Genomic DNA, 20,424 nt, shown 5'->3' with positions numbered 1-20,424 from the left:
GTAGCAAGCACTATCTAACATATTCCATATTTCCATATTTTAATTATTTATTACCTTTCTTACTAGGTTATAAATTACTTGAGGACAAAGATTTTAGTGTATTTTGTTTGCAATATCCCCAGTGTTTAGTCAGTTTCTGGTACATGGCAGATGCTCAGTGAATTTTTGTTAAATAAAGTCATGAGTAAATGACACATTTTAAATATGAATTATGAATTATTTTGTTGAATCTTGTACAATGCTTTATATGATAAAATTAAACAGTAACATAAAATGCTATTTTTAAAAAAATCTTAATTATTTTGAAAATAGTATAGTCCTTACATAGATTGTTCCTCTGTGGACAGTTTTCTTCTTTTGGCTGATGTTCAACGCATCTAGTTGAGATTTATAATAATACTTGGTTTTCAAGTGATTTTTGCTGATGTTGATTTGAGGAGAACGACTTCTTGGATCAGCTCTCTGGGGAGTGCAATAGAAAGAGGGCTAGCCCTGCTGAGGTTAGCTTGTAATTACAGATCGATTCTTCTCATAGTTTGAGTAAATCTTAATGTAGTAAATTGGAAGGCATAATAAGCAACCAACTAGAAAGCATATTAATTTTAATGATGCTTTGTTTTACTAATGAACAATTGTCTTCACTAAATAAGTTATCATTGCCACATTTTAAATTTTATCTACAATAAAGGACCAAGTTTTCATGATTGACTCCAAGTGTGAATCTGGAAAAGGACGCTGCTCTTTCAACCCCAACGTGAACACGGTGTCTGTTATGATCAGTAAGTAGACAACGAAAGAGGGAGGATTAAACATAAAATAACATGGAAAATTAGCTTGACATGGTATACCTATTCTTGATGGTTGTGTGGATGATAGTATGTGAGTAAAATAATATGAAGAAAGTTGTGAGCTGAGAAATAGAGAGTTCAGTTTCTCATTTGTAAGAATATTTATGATTAAATAATAAGCATGTAACTTATGACAGTTTTGTCATTCCCAGAGTAGGCCAAGCATTTTTTATAAGTGTGTATATGTATACTTATATATTATCATAAAGTAGTTTTCAGTGTTTTCTGTAATTGTTTGTAGTATTAACTACACCCACTTTTTCTCATGTTTTAGTATTTTTTTCTTTACCTTTCATTATTTTTTATTTGTTTTTAGTTGACAAATAATAATTGTATATATTTATAGGATACAATGTGGTGTTTTGATCTATGTATACATAATGGAAGAATTCAGTCAAGCCAATTGACATATCCATTACCTCGCCCACGTATTTTTTTGTGGTGAGAATGTTAAAAATCTATTTTTAAGCAATTCGGAAATATGCAATAAATTTTATTTACTGTCACCATGGTCACTGTGCAGTATAGTAGATCACTAAAACTGATTCCTTGGATAAACATCTTTTTTTTTGCCCCTCCCTCTGTCCTCCAGCCCCTGATAATTAACCTTTCTACCCTCTGTTTCTATGAGATCAACTTTTTTAGATTCCACATGTAAGTGAGATCACACCTTATTTGTCTTTCTGTGCCTGGCTTATTTCCCTTAGTGTAATGTCCTCCAGTTCCATCCATGTTGTCATAAGTGACAAAATTTCATTCTTTTTTAAGGCTGTATAGTATTCCATCGTGTATATATGTACCATGTTTTTAAAAATCCATTCATATGTTGATGAACACTTAGGTTGCTTCCATGTCTTAGCTTTTGTGAATAATGCTGAAATGAACATGGGAGTATAGACAATGAAATACCACCTCACACCTGTTTGAATGGCTGTTATCAAAAATACAAATGATAACAAGCATTGGGAAGGATATGGAGAAGAGGAAATTGTGTACATTGTTGGTGGGAATGTAAATTAGTACAGCTATTTTGGGAAATGGTATGAACATTCCCCCAAAAACTAAAAGTAGAATCACCATATGATCCAGCATTTCCTCTTCTGGGTATATATCCAAAGGAATTGAAACCAGTATGTCAAAGAGTTGTCTGCACTCCTGTGTTTTAGTAATCTTTTAGAAATGGTTAAAGGGGTGTTTTTTCAAAGGAAAGATGAACAAAGTGCACGTGTTAGCCAAGTTCATTCTCTGTGGATTGTCTAAAAATTGCTATGCCAAAAAGGAGATGGTAATAAAGCTATTTTTTCATTTTTTCACTTTACACAAAATATCAGTTAAGCAGCGGGCCTAATTGCTTAATGATCCACACATTGACAAGACGATTTTTAAACCTCAGTCATTGAATACCTATGACTCACTTAAACAACATTCTCTTTTGATTGAGACACTTTAAAAATATGTCTGAGTTAGCCGGGCACAGTGGTTCATGCCTGTAATCCCAGCACTTTGGGAGGCCGAGGTGGGTGAATCACCGAAGGCTGGAAGTTCGAGACCAGCCTGACCAACATGGAGAAATTCTGTCTCTACTAAAAATACAAAAAAATGAGCCGGGCGTGGTGGCGTGCACCTGTAATCCCAGCTACTCAGGAGGCTGAGGCAGGAGAATCACTTGAACCTGGGAGGCAGAGGTTGTGGTGAGCCGAGATCACGACATTACACTCCAGCCTGGGCAACAAGAGTGAAACTCTGTCTCTGAGTTGTCATGTGTTGACCAAGTAACAAATGTTGGATTTTAGTATGTCATACGTATAGTAGACGTCTTTTCCTCTTTGCTTTTTTTTAATGTATTGCCAGCATTAAAATTTCATCTTTCAACCATAGAACAGGTAAAAAATAATTATTGTGTTCAAAATGCTTGCTTTGGTTCATTTAAATAGATAACTCATCTTTCTTTCTCATATCTGGAAATTACATTAAGACAGGTAAACCTTGGAAGTTATTCAGTGAATTGCTTGAATATCGGCATTCAAGTCGGACAGGGAGGAGCCAAAAGTATATCATTTAGGACATAAAGTTAGCTTTGAAACTACAAAGTTATCCAATTATGACCTATGCAAGGCATGTTTCCAAATATTTAATAGAAGCAGTGTTTTGGAAATTCTTTTCTCCATTAGGAAGGAAACTTTATTCACCTTCAGAAACCATGTGGTGTGTTTGATAGTAATTAAATATATATATAGTTTTCATTTGTTTCCTTTTAAATGCTGCAAAAATAAACCTCAAGGATCTGTTCACATAGCTGCTACTGGAGTTTTATCTCATTGAATATTCTTTAGAATAATAAGGATTAGAACAAGGCATTATAAATTTTCTTGCTAAATTATCTTAAGTCATTTAATAGTCTTGCCCTTAGAGAATTGGATTTGTTTCCAAAATAGGAGTTAGACATTGGCCTTCTTTGTTTTTCAAGGACCTGAGAGTTGAATTCCTATGCTCATGTTCCTATACTACTTTTAACATTTGAGTAACTTTACATTTTGTAATCAAATGAAAGTCACTAAACAATTTGCTTGCCTTGAAAACTGACAGTAAAAAGAACAAAAAGCTTTATAAGATTGTAGTTATCATTTTATTCATCCAATTGATTATCCCTCTCAAATTATCTCCTGTGATTTCTGTGGTCATCTCCCTTAACCATGTAATAGTACTTTATCATTTCCATTCAAGCGCAGTGTGCTAATAAAAGCACAGATTGCTTAAGATATTTATATCTATTAAATGACCAGAAACCTGAAGAATTAGAATTCCAAATTTCATGATGTAGTTTTGCAAGTTCAGTGTGCTTTTGCTATTTTCAGTCACTGCTGTAGGCAACAACGAAGTCAGATGTTATCTTTTAAAGAGCCTACATAACTTTATGAAGTTTTTCTAGTCAGTAGAAATACAGTTGGAAAGCAAAATGTTTTTGAAATAAAGCTAAAAGGCACAAGTTTATTTCTGCATAAGGTCATGCAAAAAATCCTCTCAAGATTGTTACCAAAGTGACATTTATCAAAAATTTCTTATTGATATAAAATGAAGCAGAAAGTTCCTTACTTGCTGTTAAAATTACTGCGAATTTAAGATAGGAAATGAAGCCAATTAGATGTGCAGGCTTATGTAATGTTTGAGACATGACTAATAAGGTGGTATGAAGTAGGATTAGAATTAGCCCTCTCTGCCATACACTAACTTCTTAGTATCTTTTTTTCTTTTTCTGCTTGAAAACAGATATGACAATTGATAGCTGTGCCAATCAATCTGTTGAACAGCAGGAATGTATAATCCACAGTTTAATGGTTAATTGAATATACAAAAATGTGAAATAATTATTTACAAAGTTGCCACAATTTAATAGCTAGATCTGTGTGTATATAAGCCTCACAAATGTTCTTAGAATTTTAAAGAAGCTAAAATGGTAAAGAAAAAAAAAAGCCTTCATACACATTTTTGTTATCTCCCTATAATCTGTTTCCCTGGGCCTAGAACCCCTACTAGGAAGCAGAGCTGAGCAACAAAATGCCCGCCACACCAGCTTGCTAACTGGTAGGGGTCCAGTTCATAACCTGGCGAGCACATATTAGATACATTCCATTCTCCATTCAATGCTGGGCCGACTGGTACTGCTTATTACTAAACAGTGAGCTTAGAGTACTTTGAAATGTTCCAATCCTGCCAAAATGACCACGGTCTGAAGGTAGCCCAGGGAGTAATCCTAGAACAACAGTCAAGGAACGCAGCTGCATGGCAGTTCAGTGGGCCAGGCTGATAAATTTCATGCTTTTTATAATAGATATTTAGCTACTGTTTTATACTCAGGGGTCACGTTTGTTACCAATTCAATGCTTACTGCTCCTTACTAGATGAAAAGTAATATGGATCTTCAAACAATAAGGTAAATGTTGAATGTTATGTATATATAGATTAATACATCTGATTCTGTTAATAGTGAAAATTTATTTAATTTTAAGTATCTTTTCTTTCTTATCGTATTCTATTTTTATGGCTGAGTTGCAGTTGAAAAAGTAGCACTTTGTTTACCTTACCAGGAAACTTCTAGCACTAAAGATCAAAATATGTACTTTTAGTGATTACATTTTTTAGTCACTGATAATGTTTTGACAGTTATAATGTGGCCTCCTTGTCATGTCATAATAATAATTCTTAAAACTATTATATTCAATCCATTTAGGATGATCTTAGAAATTTTAATATGTGTTAAGAACTTTTAAGATCATAATCTAATTCCCATACATTGTAGATTAGAAGGTTGAGACTCTAGATGTTCAATAGCTTAGCACTAGTTCCCAGCTTGTTAGGGATTACCAAAGTTAGAAACCATGTTTTCTGACTCTTACAGTGTTTTTCTTTTAAATGTATTATAGGTAAACAGTTAAGCTATTTTGTTATCTATTATACGTCTGCCATTTCTGATAGACTCTATATAAAAATTAATATATAGTATAATTAAGTACAGGTAGAGGAACTCTCACTTTTACATAGAATAAAGTTGTTTTGAGGTTTGATTTTTTAAAAAACATAGTAATTATCATTCAGGCAATAATGAGAAAAGATTAAAATTTATAAAATTTATTGATTTGCTGGACAATGCAAACCAATTAATATTTGTTATAACCAATTATCATAACACTGTAATACCTGTGGTGATCTCCTAATAAATAAACTCACCTAGAATTTCAAAATAGCTTTAAAAATTTACATTTCATTGATATTTTCTTTTTCATAGATGAGGAGCTTTTCTCTGGAATGTATATAGATTTCATGGGGACAGATGCTGCTATTTTTCGAAGTTTAACCAAGAGGAATGCGGTCAGAACTGATCAACATAATTCCAAATGGCTAAGTGGTAAGAAAGCATTTGATGCATTTATTTTTTAGTATCGTGTTAAACTAACTTATTTAATTCTATCCTAACAACTAGGGAAAATGGTTAAAAACTAAAATAGCAGGCTATTACATGAATAATGGTAATTCTGTACCCTATGATTTAAAATATTCGGGGAAAATAAACAATTGAATAGCTCATAGTCCATATTTCGATTCTTTATTTCTATTAATCATCCTACAGTTATCATATGAATATGAATAAATAAAAGTGACAGTGATAATTTATATTTCAGTACCCAAGCATCTTCTCCAGTTGTTTAATTGTAACATATTGCAATTAAATATGCTTTTTACTTCATTTAATCTGCTTGTATGTTTTAACAATACCAAATCTAAAAATTATCCCAAATGTATGACATTGAGATGCAATGAACAGAGTATAGCCGGGGCCTCCTCTCTTTTTGTTTTATACTTAGATTCTAAAATTACAAAACTGGTATGTATTTTCTCATAAATGGACTAATATTCAGTAGAAATCATAGGAATGATAACTATGATTATCCATATTCAGTTGCCTCCAGCTCTTGGAGTCATATGGAATTCACATCAAAAAAGGTGCTCATTTGGTTTACCGTATTATTCCAATCAATTGCTGTTGTTTAGAGCAATTAAAAAAACAAAAACAAAAACAAAAAACGAAGATTCTTGTCATTTCACCCTGGAGAAAATTTTTAGCTGACCCTAAATGTGGCAATTCATTTAACATTGCAGAGTTAAGCATGAATCACCACAGTGAAGCATCCTATTTCGCTGATAGGCCAGCACAAGAAAGCATTGATTGTTCATTTACTTATTCAGATTATTCCTCCAGTACATCTGGAAATAGAATATTCTAAAAGTTGTTTTGTTCTTGAAATAAGGAAACCCTGTATGTCTCCAAATGACTAATGACGCTGTTTTTCCTTGAAAAGTTTCCCCTTCATTTCGTATGTTGCATTTTAAGAAAAGTCATGTTTTTCAGAGTTTGGACTTCCAACTCCTCATTCTGCTTCAACAAATTTGAGTTTATATGTGCTAGATTGAAAAACATACTTTGAAAAATAAATATTTTTTTTCAATAAAATAGCCATCAGATTCCTTAGGAAATAACTGGTAGAAAAGTTTTTCAATTTTTTGAAACTCATTGGTGCACAAATAATTTTCACATTTCCTGCACTTCCTGTGGTACTCGACATTCCAAATGTGGCATGGTGTGTGAATGCAATTACTGCTTTTAGAAATGTGCCTGTAAATGTTGAATTGTTTTTTTCTACCAAAGATGGGGAAGGCATCTGCCTGTGGTCTACTTGGATGACAGAAGATGGATTTTCATAATGAATATATACCTAGTCTTTTACCTTTTTTTCTAGAACCTATGTTTGTAGATGCACATGTCATCCCAGATGGTACTGATCCAAATGATGCTAAGGTGTACTTCTTCTTCAAAGAAAAACTGACTGACAATAACAGGAGCACGAAACAGATTCATTCCATGATTGCTCGAATATGTCCTGTAAGTATTAATGCTGTTCCGATTTGAAGAAAGACCAAGAAATTCAAATTATGGTTTATCTCCGTGCTTTTATTATCAACCATTACAAATAAATAAAATATTGAGGGAAGCATTTAATGTAACATTTATTCATCATCATTATTATATTTAATATTCATCATTTTATATTGAATATAGTGTTTATAACCCCAACCCAAATTCTAACCCTCAATAAGTTATATGAGATAAACATACCCTATTTTAGTAAAAATCTTAATTCAAGAAAATATTTTGTTTTTGTTCTTGAACAAATAAACACTTCTGACAAATTTTTGCATATTCATTTAATGCATTGGTATTCAAACCAATAGCTAAATTGCATATTACCTAAAGAAACTGATTGTTGTCAATAAAATACAGTAAATATCTCAGTAAGAGATGATTATTAAGGAACCATTTATAAATAGTGAAAATTAAGAAAAGCTTTAATAAAATTCTAATTAAAAACAGTAACCAAAATGCTCTTGTGTAGAAACAATAAGTATACATAGCAACACAAGAAAATTTGTGATGTCCTTTCTATAATAGAGTTTTACAGACTTATCCTGACTTATTTATGATTAGCATCCTTTGTGAAAAAATGTTTCTTAAAGTGCTTAGTGTTTAAAATAGTTTATATATTATAATACTCCACTGATCATGGAGCTCAACTGTTTCTCAGTCATTTGCAACAAGGCAGCGAAGTCAGCAGAAGGGGTAAAAGGCCTTTGGACACAGGAAGAAAATGTCTTCACTGGAGACTATTTGTGAATGATCCAAATGCCATTTCTCCTTATAATGTATAATTAGGCATCAGATTAGAAATACTGAAAATTATGTGATAATTTGGATAAATGAAGGAGTGAATGTAAAACTGTTGGGGACCATTTTGTGTAAAGATATAATCACTCTCCTGACCACAATCTGCAAAACTCACTGTGTATAATAATTTATGTTCAAATTGAAGACAATAAATTATCAAGGAAAGGCAGATTAAATGATCTATTTTCTATAACATTATATAAATACTTCCATTGTACATCGTTAAAATTAGAAATAATTATGTCACACATTTATCAAATAAATGTATTTTCAGCTGACATCATGCTATAAGAGAATAATAGTATAACTATTGTATAAAATACTATAAGTCATAAATATTCCTCTTTGACAACTGATGTGCAGAAGTGGTTAACATATCCATTCTTCAGATTTTCATCCTCCAAGCAACTAGAGTACAAGTCGAATTTTTAATGTGCTTCAATATTTACTTAAGCAATCTGAATTATGTTTACAAAATGGTTTTAGAATGACACTGGTGGACTGCGTAGCCTTGTCAACAAGTGGACCACTTTCTTAAAGGCGAGGCTGGTGTGCTCGGTAACAGATGAAGACGGCCCAGAAACACACTTTGATGAATTAGGTACATACATATGAGATTGAAAAATGCTTCTGAAAGAAGGCTTGTAAAGTTTATATATTTAAATAAGGTCTCAAAAGAAGATGTACTTTCCATATTTTCAGCATAAATAATATGCTAATTTAAAATAATTATCTAGATACTGTTCATAAATTTTCTTAAGTATTTTGTAATCTGTTACGCCCATGAGTGCACTGCTGAAACATTTAGCTCATTGAATTCACCATAATATATGAATGAATGTGTGTGTTTGGGGGTGTAACTTGTATAATGTGTGTATAGGTAATGATATGTTTGTGTTTTTATAAATGAATATTTATTTCATGTATATTAGAATATCTAATATTCTGATTTTGTGTGAAAATACAGCTATATATTTTTACTATTGTAGCTAATGGACAGGATAGAGTTTGGATGGAAAAAAGTGTCAGAGTAGAAATTTGGAGACTTGTGTTCCCTTCTTAGTTCTGCTTGGTGACTCTGAGATTAGATATTCTCAATGTGACATGAGGAGGCTTACACTTTCCAGGTCGAATAAGGACTGACAGTCTGATTCCCTCTGCCAAGGAACAGTTTTTTTATTTTTTTAATCTGAATATCCCAGGGCACATCATATTTACTAAATGTCATTTGTAAATGACTTTTCTTTCACCTTAATTCATTAGAAGGTAAAATAATGGTCATTCTCAGATTTTGAGACAGGTGATAAGTTATAAATCTGTGTTACCATGTGGAAAAAATTTACTGATTCTAATAGTAATGAACTATATCGTTCTTCTGATCAAAAACCATTATGTTGATTATGGAACAAAAGTTTCTAGATAAGCTTTTCTAGAGAAAAGTTCTAAGTATCATTTTGTGAAACAGGCTACTTGCTCATTCTACTCCCCTGAATGTTTGGGAATATATTTTATGTTTCAGTCTTTCTTTTTTTTTTAGGGAGAGCTAGACATTGTCAGCCTTTATTCACATATGGAAGGACTAGTGATTGTTAATTTGTTGTTTGAGTGGTTATAAATTTATTGCTTATGAGGTCATTTAAATTCATTTTTAATTTAAAATAAATACATATTTCTTTGTGTTTCTCAGTAATAATTCTGTTAGCAAGATTGTCACTATGTCTGGGCCTTTCATATAATCATGGCAATTGATTATTAATTGGAGTTTTCTATCAGAAATCTACTTTCATATTCTGTTATTTATCACTTCACTGTGCATACTTTTGTTTTTGCCTTACTACACTTTAAACATCTTTTTGTTAGAGGAGCTATCATTAAATAAAAGTATCACTAGCAATTTTGACCATATGCCACAAAAAGTTCTATTTGATGGTAAGATGAGTTACCGTGAAAAAGTTTTATTCCATCTTCCAGCTCCTAAGATTAGATCAAAAAGAAATTGAGATTTGTAATTTTTTTAATTAAAACAGTAATATATTAACATTAAAGGATATTTAGAAAGAAGCACCAGAATATTTCTACAGCTTTGCCTCTTGTAACACTCACTGTTAATCTTATTCTTATATTCTGATGGATATTTTTAAGGTTAATATGGTTCTAGTCCATATTATGTAATATATCATTGTACTTTTTCCCCATAATATTATTTTACTAGCATGGTTTTCACAAGGATACAAAATTTTCATAAATTCCATTAGTATCTGTATTAATTTAATTTAATTTAGTGTTTCTATCATTATTTGTTTCCAAATTACCATAATGGTACAGGAATATCTTTTTGCAGAGTACTTTTCAGAGTTGAAATTATTTTCTTAGGGTAAATTTTTCAAAACAAAGAAGTTAATATTTAGAAACTTTAAAAGAATATTTTCCTTTTTATAGAGGATGTGTTTCTGCTGGAAACTGATAACCCGAGGACAACACTAGTGTATGGCATTTTTACAACATCAAGGTAATTATTCAACAGTTACATTTTATGAGTTAAACAATAAACTTCATGGAGTAACAGTAATTATTATAAAAGCATTCTTCTCTGCAACTTTTAATTTTACATGTCATTTGGGATGTAATCCTTCCATTTTATTTACTTTTGCCTGATTACCAAAATATATTGGAGCTAAACTAATGCTTTCCAAATACTTTTGTAGAGAGTATTTGTAATGATTGCATGATATTTTTATCAAACAAATCAAAATAATGAATTATAATGTAGGAAAAAATACGTGATTTTTTCAATAAAATAATTTGAGCACTTGTGAGCAAATAAAACTTTTGGCATTTTTTTGGTTGCTGTTATCAGAGGTAATAAATGTTTATCACCTGGATTGTAGTGACAGTAACACAAGTGTATACATATGTCTGAACTTACGACATTGTATACATTAATTAATTGTGTACAGTATTTTTTTGTATACCAATTATACCTTAGGAAAGCTGGAAACAATTACGCATTTCAGTAAAAATACTTTTTACTTCTGAAGTAAAGTGATGACTATTTAGGACCTGACAAAACACTGAACCAATGTTCTTTTTCTGTCTTTTTTTTTTTTTTTTTTGAGATGGAGTCTCGCTCTGTTGCCCAGGCTGGAGTGCAGTGGTGCGATCTCGGCTCACTGCAAGCTCCGCCTCTGGGGTTCATGCCGTTCTCCTGCCTCAGCCTCCCAAGTAGCTGGGACTACAGGCGCCCGCCACCACGCCTGGCTAATTTTTTGTATTTTTAGTAGAGGTGGGGTTACACCATGTTCAAGGCAGGATGGTCTTGATCTCCTGACCTCGTGATCCGCCAGCCTCAGCCTCCCAAAGTGTTGGGATTACAGGCATGAGCCACTGCGCCCGGCCATTTTTTTTTTTTTTTAAGATTGGGTCTCGCTCTGCTGCCCAGGCTGGAGTGCAATGGCATGATCTCAGCTCACTGCAACCTCCGCCTCCTGGATTCAAACAGTTCTTCTGCCTCGGTCGCCTAAGTAGCTGGGATTACAGGCATGTGCCACCAGACCCAGCTAATTTTTCTATTTATTTATTTATTTTTAGTAGAGACAGGGTTTCACCATGTTGGTCAGGCTGGTCTCAAACTCCTGATCTCGTGATCCGCCTGACTTGGGCCTCCCAATGTGCTGGGATTACAGGCATGAGCCACCGTGCCTGGCCAATTTTCTTATTCTATGTGAGATTATTTTATGTATTTGAAAATTAGTTTAATGTTTTCTCACTTCTCTGGGATGCCCAAGCTAATTAAAGTACGTATTTCAAGATAAAAAATCTTTTTTTTAATCTTGCTCATATTTTTCTTTATTAATTTTATAGTAGGCATATTCCTTAGAGTTAAGCTGTAACTCAGCCACTGTGGAAGATAATGGGTCCCTTTGATTAGACAATCAACTACAAAGCAAAAATCTAAAGGTTTTAGCTGTTTTTTTTCTTTAATGGGAAAACATAGTATAATTGTAAACTGCAATGAGCTATTCAAAGAAAAAGAAATTTACAAGTAAGTTGTTTTTAAATATTTGCAGTTGCCCCACAAGATGTCTAAAAAGATGTCTTTAAGGATGAGTTTAACTCCTGTTCTAAGTAGTCTTGATTTAACTCACAAAGAATTGAACAAAGAAAAAAAATCAAATTCTTAAGAAAATGTTGTTTTCAATAAAACGATTTTTCTTGTTTTGTTTTTTCCAGTACCTGTAACTTTAATATCAAAAAATTCAAAATCATCATTCTGCCTATTGATACTAATGATTAACAATGTATCTTACTTGTTTTTATGGGAATGCACCTTTTTTCATTAGACGTCTAATTTGAAATAAATATGTGAGTCAGAGAAATACTGATTTCAGCCAACCTGCCATAGGACAATGGAAATATTTCTTACTAAAGATTCAAACAAATTTTATGAGGTGTCATTGACTAAAGATGGTTTAATGAATTTTTTTTGGGCCCCTATTTTTTGTTCTGTGACCAACAGGGGAAGTACCTAAACCGTGACAACATAGACTTCTCCAACTAGTATTCAGGATACCATGTGAGAACACTCTCATATTAAAATAATCATAACACAAAAAGATATGGTGTTCAATTATTAATGAGATTCATCTCTTTGAGTTAAATTGTGATAGGTTATATTGATAGTGATTTGGAATTCAAATTCATATTTTTAAATAAAATCATCAGTATACTTTCTTGCTGCTAAGATGAACTAGTTAGAAACTTTTTTGAGTTGTCCTGTATTTTGGAAACATTGAAAAGGACTTTACTATAACTTATTGTCTACTGACTCCATGGATGAATTGAGTATTGTAATGCTTTATGTATCAATACCTTTTTTCAAAGTTTTTCAGCTTTTCACATGTGTTCGATAACATTTAACTTTTCTATGGTGGATTATATTAACTTTTTATCATAAATTTTACCATATATTTTTTAAATTGTATTTTAATTTTAAAAATTTGAAAATGCCTTTTTCTGTTTTCTTTTTTAGCTCAGTTTTCAAAGGATCAGCCGTGTGTGTGTATCATTTATCTGATATACAGACTGTGTTTAATGGGCCTTTTGCCCACAAAGAAGGGCCCAATCATCAGCTGATTTCCTATCAGGGCAGAATTCCATATCCTCGCCCTGGAACTGTAAGTATCCAGGGAAAATTCTTTGTTATGATGCTTTATAAAAACTCATTTAACAGGTAATGAATATCTGTGGGGTTTTTTGGGGTTTTTTTTTGAGACGGAGTCTCACTCTGTTGCCCAGGGTGGAATGTAGTGGTGCAATCTCAGCTCACCTCACCCTCCGCCTCCCGGGTTCAAGCGATTCTCCTGCCTCAGCCTCCTAAGTAACTGGGATTACAAGCATGCACCACCATGCCCGGCTAATTTTTGTGTTTTTAGTAGAGACAGGGTTTCACCATGTTGGTCAGGCTGGTCTCGAACTCCTGACCTCGTGATCCGCCCGCCTTGGCCTCCCAAAGTGCTTGGATTACAGGCGTGAGCCACCGCACCCGGCCTGAATATCTGTTTTAATTAAGGAATAACCATGTGAGAAATAATTTAGAGATACTTCACATAGAGATAGTTCCATTTCTAGGAATCTATTTAGATAGAAATTGTGTTACATATATCTCATAGGAAGAAAATGTATGTGTAAGCAAATAATTACAACAAATGAGATGTAATTTTTAAAATAAAATATTTGTAACTGAAGTAACACAGATTAGAACTATTTAACTATAGGCAGCTTTCTAATTAGGAATGGTCTGAACTAGAAGTACTGTTATTAAAGCTGGTAGCTATATCCATATCATGCAATATTAGTAGTATTAGGAATACATTGAAAACTCAGTTTTCCAGCTGAAGATACAGACAGTGCACTGGAATATTAGAACCGGAATTTTTCTAAGGGTCCATTGATAACAGTCCTACTCTTTCTTTCTCATCTGGCCTATAATAATGCTGCCTTCTAGAATGTTGATTAGTTTTTTTTTCTAAAATGTCAGACAGTACACCGAGAGATGTTATATAATTGAACATTAAGAGAAATATAATCTTATATCTCTGTATTTCATAAAATAGGGCTATAATTATAAAATGGATAAATATGAACAATGAATTTATTTTAAAAATCAAAAGATACATTTATGTAAACAAGGTGTTCCTTTTTTCTTGAATTTGAAATTATCTTTGCTAATATTCTTCCAAATAATTATCCCATATAATTTTTACTAATTGTTGATTCATTTTATTTTTCTTATTAGAGTTTATTTGCAATATTGTTTGCTCCTTTATTTTCTTCTTAAATTATACCAATGTTAATTTTTTGAAAATTGAAGATACAGTTTGCTAAGCCTTTAAAGAGCATATTTTATTCCAAAAATTTTAAAGCTTAAGTTTTGTTCCTGGCTAGGAAGCTCAAAGTTTAATCATTTATATGTATTTTGTGTGGAACAATTGATCTTTAATTAACTTTGGAAAAATTATGAGAATTGCTTCTTATTCATAAAAAGATTAAATTTTTAGGTCATTCTTAATTATAAGTGACAACAAAGTCCTGTCACAGAATTTATATTATCCTTTAAGATGATCTCTCTTTGATGTTCGCAGCTCTAAAGAAGATGGACAGAACATTAATCTTGTATAAAACAGGGAAAAGCATCAGCAGATACAGCCGTTTTAAGATTGGGGAATCCTGGTGTGGTGGTGGGCGCCTGTAGTCCCAGCTACTTGGGAGGCTGAGGCAGGAGAATGGCGTGAACCCGGGAGGGGAGCTTGCAGTGAGCTGAGATCACACCACTGCACTCCAGCCTGGGCGACAAAGCGAGACTCTTGTCTCCAAAAACAAAAACAAAAAAAGACTGGGGAGTGCTGGATAAGAAGCAGAGATTATTTAAGAGAAAAGGAAGGGGAGGCTGAACAACTTTCAAATTCCGTTATATATCAAAGGCTGTTATTATTTTACTCAACATATTTTATGCATTTTCAGAGAAAAATATACTTTTGAGAGTGACTTGCTATTTGAAATTGACCTAGTCATAGACTCATCTTAATATGGAAAATTAAGAGGTGGTTGTGATTACGTGTGCTTTCATCAGTGATTCTTTTGAGCAGCATATAAATGGGGTTAGTACAGGAGCAGTTGATTTGCAAACTAAACAAAATTCTGTTCCCCCTAAAAAAACTTAAGAGAAACCCTTCAAATAAAGATATTAAAAAGATAAAAGAGAGCCATGCTGCTTGAATCAGGGTTTGAGGCCTCAGAGCCTCATGCAGTCTGTGCTGGAGCCAGCATGGACCCAGGTTACAAGAGCAGATAATGTACACCTCTTCTCAATTAAGAACATTAGAGTGGTAACTTGAAATCAGCCATCATGGAACTATCTACACCATGGAAATTGTCAAATGCTACAAATCAGGGAGATTTTTTTTTTCCTCATGCAAAGTGACCTCTGACCTTACCTCTCATCAGGCTCTTCACCCACGTGACAACTTAAAAGGCACCTTAACAGGTGTATAGAACTCAGAGCATCACTGTGAGAAAACCATTCATGTCAGGCAGCAATTGTTCTACATAAAATGTAGGAATACTAAACCCTTTTTAGTAAAACAGAATAAACCAATGCTAAATTAGAAAATTCTGCTAACAGTCCCACTTTTCACTGTTTTTTAGCTCTCAAGAATGACCATTTGTTTCCTGTTCCAAAGCAGTGTAGAGTAAGCCAGGGTTAGCAACACACATCTGCAACAGACTCCGTGAAAAAAGGGAGTAGTCAGGATTTGAGAAATATTTCTATAATGTGGTTTCTTACATCTGGTGTTGAGACCAGAGCAGCTCCTTTAAATCAAAAAATTGTCAGATGAGTGATCCTTAGAGAATAAAAGAGGCAGGGTAGGAGTGACCTTTGGAACTCCTCCTGGAAAAGCGTACCTCCCTGAAGATTCTGTCCCTCCACCCTTCAACCAGCAAAACACCATGAAGTCAGCTCTCTGACTCAAGAGTGGCAGTGTCTGTCTCTTCGTTGCACTTCCAGGGTTTAATATCGTCTCATGTAGCCGAACCACCTGCAGCCAAGTAATCCAAAGTATTCTCTCTTCTCTAAGGTTAAGAATGTTGCTTCTGAAGTCCTCCCAATGAAGGATCAACTGTGATTTTCCTACTTTATTTCCCCCTACAGTAGTATGGTTGCCCAGTCAACCCCATAAATATATGGCTGTGTTCTTAAAGAAATGAGACTGGCAGAAATCTCATACCCTCGTTCTAATGTTCCCTGTAGGTGCTTCTTTTAAAACACGGTTGGTAGCTCTGTTAGCAAACGACCCCACCAGCAAGCCCAAGTCAGTAGGAAGAAGCCTGCCAATTGTGTCATTATATTTTTCCGTAAGTAATTCAAGTTTGTGGAAGAAACAAGACACTTTTGGTATGTTGCAAAGGGCAGCCAAAGAATGAAAACTCTGTGGCCGAGCAAACATATTACATTATTCTGCTGCAACATGTATAAAGCTTCTGCAGGAGATTGTTTGTATAGTTGTATATCCTGTTAAAGCAGAACTTAATGAAAGTGTTCAACTTTAACATCTCTTTATAAGTATAACAGAGTCATGTGCTTCCATCATCATGCCTTGGACAGGTCGGGTACATGCAAAGGATCACAGAAAATTGATGAGCCACATAGTCAGTAGTGGCAAGGATACGAGAAGTTCATTGTTGGCAGTTTTGTTGATTACATACGTCTTCTGGTTGTGCTTACATTAGAGTATTTCTCTTTCTCTTAGATGTTTGAAAACATTCAGTTAGGAATGTTTCTAAGAAAATTGAATGCATAAGACATAGACATGAAAAATTAATTACATCGTCTCACATCATTATTCAAAACGTGAATAAAATTTTTAAAATAAATATTATTAAAGTTTAGAGGAGAGAGAGATTGTAGTAAAACAGTCTGATTTGAAAAGGGATTAAAAAATGTGAGATTGAGCTTGCCCTAGGGTGATTGGACGTGGATAAATTGAGTAAGGAAGGAAGGGGTTTTCAGATGAAGGGTACAGCATACACTACAAGACACAGATGGAAATGAATAAGTGATTTTTCGAAGCTCTGTGTGGGTTAGTAGGACTGGAGCAGTGGGCTTTTATATGTAGGGGAGGCAAATATAAGGAAGATGAGGGTCAGCTAATACATAAGCACAAGTCTTCAACTATGTAATTTTTTTGGCTTCAGACAAAGGGCTTGGATTACCAAGGTTGAAACATAAAATGAGTTTTTCTCAGTATACAAATTTCATAGACCAGTACTAGAAATAAGCATAGATTCTAGAGTGCCACCAAGACCCTTTATTTATCTATATACCACTCATCCCCCACGTGTTAGGTTAAGATCCCCTCGACCGTGCTAGTCACTCTTTCTCAGCCTAGTTTTGCATTTATTTTCTGCAATCTGTCTTCAGCCTCACCTCCTACCTCCTTCCTTCACTTTGGGCTCCATGATCCAGCCATGCCCTACGAATTACAGTTCTCTAAATACTCTAAATTTTGTTTTATCATCCCTAAACCTCTTCACTGACCTTGGCAGCTGTAAGTTCTCCACTGTTATAAACTTGTTTTAAAAATATTGCCTCTTGAGTATGTAGGGAAATTGATCCTAAACCAAAATTGATTGTTTATCTTACATTTGTTTCAAATTATTACTTTTTGTCATAATATTGTTATTTTGCTTTGAATATGTCTATCTTTCTTACTAGAATACTTGTGTCTGAAGATAACAGTAATTTTTTATTCTTGTGTCCCCTACTGGGCACATCAAAGTGCTTTTTGGATAAAATATGCTCAAGTAATGGATACGTATATTAACATATAAGTATATTCTGAAAACTGACCTAATGGACGTGAAGATTAAGAGAACATTTAGAAACTTCAGAAGGCAGCAGATATTTATGAATACCTGAGTATAGGAAGCAAGTTTGGTAAGGACAATTGCTGTTACTTTCCTAACATGGCATTCTTATTGTTCCTAGCATTTCATATCACACTTTAGTAATCAGAGCACTTGAAATGTCTTTACTCAAAAAAGGAGGGCTTATCACTGCTTGATAAACAAATAGCTGGAAGAACTGAGGAAAAACATTTAAAGGAGAAGTTTAACCAAAATTACTTAATGACTATTTGCAGAGTAAAATTAATGTTCTAAAGAATGAAACACCAGCCTAGTTAGTGGACAAATATTTTACGTTAGCACATAGATGTTATGTTATCTTGAAGTTTCAATAAACATGTTTTATTATTTTGCAAGGTGAGAGAAAAGTTAATCACATCTGATTTATTCTTGGCAGTATGACACTGAGCAAACTCAGTGCAGACAGAGTCTACAAAGGGCAATCAATTTGTGTTTGTGTTACATTATTAGCACTCATTGTCTGTCTTATCAGCAGAGTTGATGGCATGAATCAATAGAATAATTATTATCAAAAAGAATTGTTTGGTAAGTTTGAACATATACTAGGAGACACTTGTTTCTAGGTGATAAATTCATGGGAGTATTAAAAAAAGTCTTGTGGAGAATATTTTAATGAATGCAAAGTAACTTATTTGATTTGTTTAGATTACCTATTTAATAACTATGGTTTTGAGCAACCTTGACATAATTGTTAACCTGGATTTCATTTACCATTAAGTAAAAGCCAGAGACTAGGCACTGGTCATTTAATAAGCTTGTCTCACATCAAACTGTACTAACTGGAAATTATGTAAATTGTTTAGTAATATATGCTAACTTTGATTTTTCCAGAACTCAGAAACGAGAATGCTTGCAAATACTTAAGGAGACATTTCAGTTTAGCAAGCCATCATTAGCGGTGTTTTATAAAGTTCTGGAACTATTTAAATTACCCATGCATTGCTCTTTCCATGTTTTCATGCAGTGAGCAATGTATTTCCCTTTTTCCACTTTGTGTGAAGATTGAGGCTAGAAAACACCCATAATTCTATATTTTGCAGAAGTATGGAACACGTTCATCAGCTTAGAACAACCTCAAATTAAATTTTTTGTCCTCATTTTGGTCTTTGTTGTGAGCAGTTTGTAAATGTGTATTTAAATATAATACTTTTTAAAAAATAAAAACATATGAACTCCAGATGAAAGTCTAGTTAATGGAATAAAGAATGAGAGGTTTCGTTTTATTACTTGTCTCATTACTGCTACTCTTTTAAGTCATTTAATTGCTCCTTGTACCTTTCTACAAAAAGGGAACTATATTTATCAGATCTGTAAAAAGTTCTAGTCTGGTAATGTTAACTGGTCAAAGTAAGTCTCAATATTGCACTCATGATGCTGCAGTCTAAATGAGTGAGATAATATTAGTAATCTGCTGAGATCTAGCTGCACGTGGAGGCCTGCCTGACAACATTGGCCCAAAGGCACTAATACTGTTGGACAGCTGTTGCAGGGATTTAACCTGGAGATTGTCATATTTTGTTTGGCCCCCCATGTTGCTGTTCTTTTTTTACTGAGTCAACATTAAACACTTGGCAGATTTTACATAAAATTCCACATTCTATCTTCTGCTGAGGTCTGGAAGCACGAGGATTTTATTCCTGCTTAGAAGCAGTCAGCTGGATAAGTGTTCATTGCCATCTTTGGATAACACGTAACTCCCCAGTTTGTCACAGTCCCCATTGCATCCTGCTATTTATGACTGATGCTGTGCCTATTGCTATCAAACAGGCAGCTTGCTTTGTTACTTTCCTTTTATCACATACCTCTCTAAAGAGGATAAATGAAAACCAACACGATAGTGCTGTGTGTTTCAAGAAAAATATAGTGTTTTTGTTTCTGGAAGTAGAGATATCGACAGGAATTTAATATTGACAGGTATTTAATAACATTATTAATAGTAATAATGTTTGTATGTATTAAAATATTATACCCAATGGTTTTTCTCATATAACTTAACACTCAGATCCAATTAGTGAGTGAGTTTGAGTTCTGGCTTCAGCAGTTCCCAGCCTACCCTTAAGTTTGGCCTTAGGTGCCCTACGAATGGAATCTTCTCCTCAGAAGCCCTGTCAGGTTCCCTTGCCAGAACTGCTGACGCTGTTCAGCAGTCCTTTCTCCAGATCTCGTTCTTGTTTTCTGCCTGCCCCCTTGGACTCAGTGCTCTGAAACTTTTCCCTCCTGGCCAGAATTGAGGCCCCTGTTTCATACAGACCCGGCACCAAAATTGCAGGCCAGATACAATCAATGATATAATGCATTCATTCAGGCCAGATACAA

At 33.7% G+C, this 20,424-nt stretch overlaps 1 protein-coding gene and 1 long non-coding RNA gene across 4 annotated transcripts in view; both read left to right on the top strand.

The window, feature by feature from the left end:
- The window catches only part of SEMA3C (semaphorin 3C), a 179,852-nt gene that overhangs the window by 111,000 nt on the left and 48,428 nt on the right, over window positions 1-20,424 (top strand). For all 3 annotated transcript variants that reach the window (NM_001350120.2, NM_006379.5, NM_001350121.2), the window contains 6 exons: window positions 689-779; window positions 5,632-5,751; window positions 7,142-7,284; window positions 8,611-8,725; window positions 10,564-10,633; window positions 13,154-13,298. In NM_001350120.2, coding sequence (NP_001337049.1) covers window positions 689-779; window positions 5,632-5,751; window positions 7,142-7,284; window positions 8,611-8,725; window positions 10,564-10,633; window positions 13,154-13,298 — 684 coding nt within the window. The remainder of the gene's footprint in view (window positions 1-688; window positions 780-5,631; window positions 5,752-7,141; window positions 7,285-8,610; window positions 8,726-10,563; window positions 10,634-13,153; window positions 13,299-20,424) is intronic.
- On the top strand, window positions 13,607-19,285 carry LOC124901686 (uncharacterized). The gene is made up of 2 exons (XR_007060403.1): window positions 13,607-16,536; window positions 17,897-19,285. It is a non-coding gene; the product is annotated as an uncharacterized LOC124901686 (long non-coding RNA).

Source organism: Homo sapiens, chromosome 7, assembly GCF_000001405.40.
Source record: "Homo sapiens chromosome 7, GRCh38.p14 Primary Assembly".
NCBI lineage: Eukaryota > Metazoa > Chordata > Mammalia > Primates > Hominidae > Homo > Homo sapiens.
Note: the sequence above shows the minus strand (reverse complement) of the source record. Positions and strands in the feature narration are given on the sequence as shown.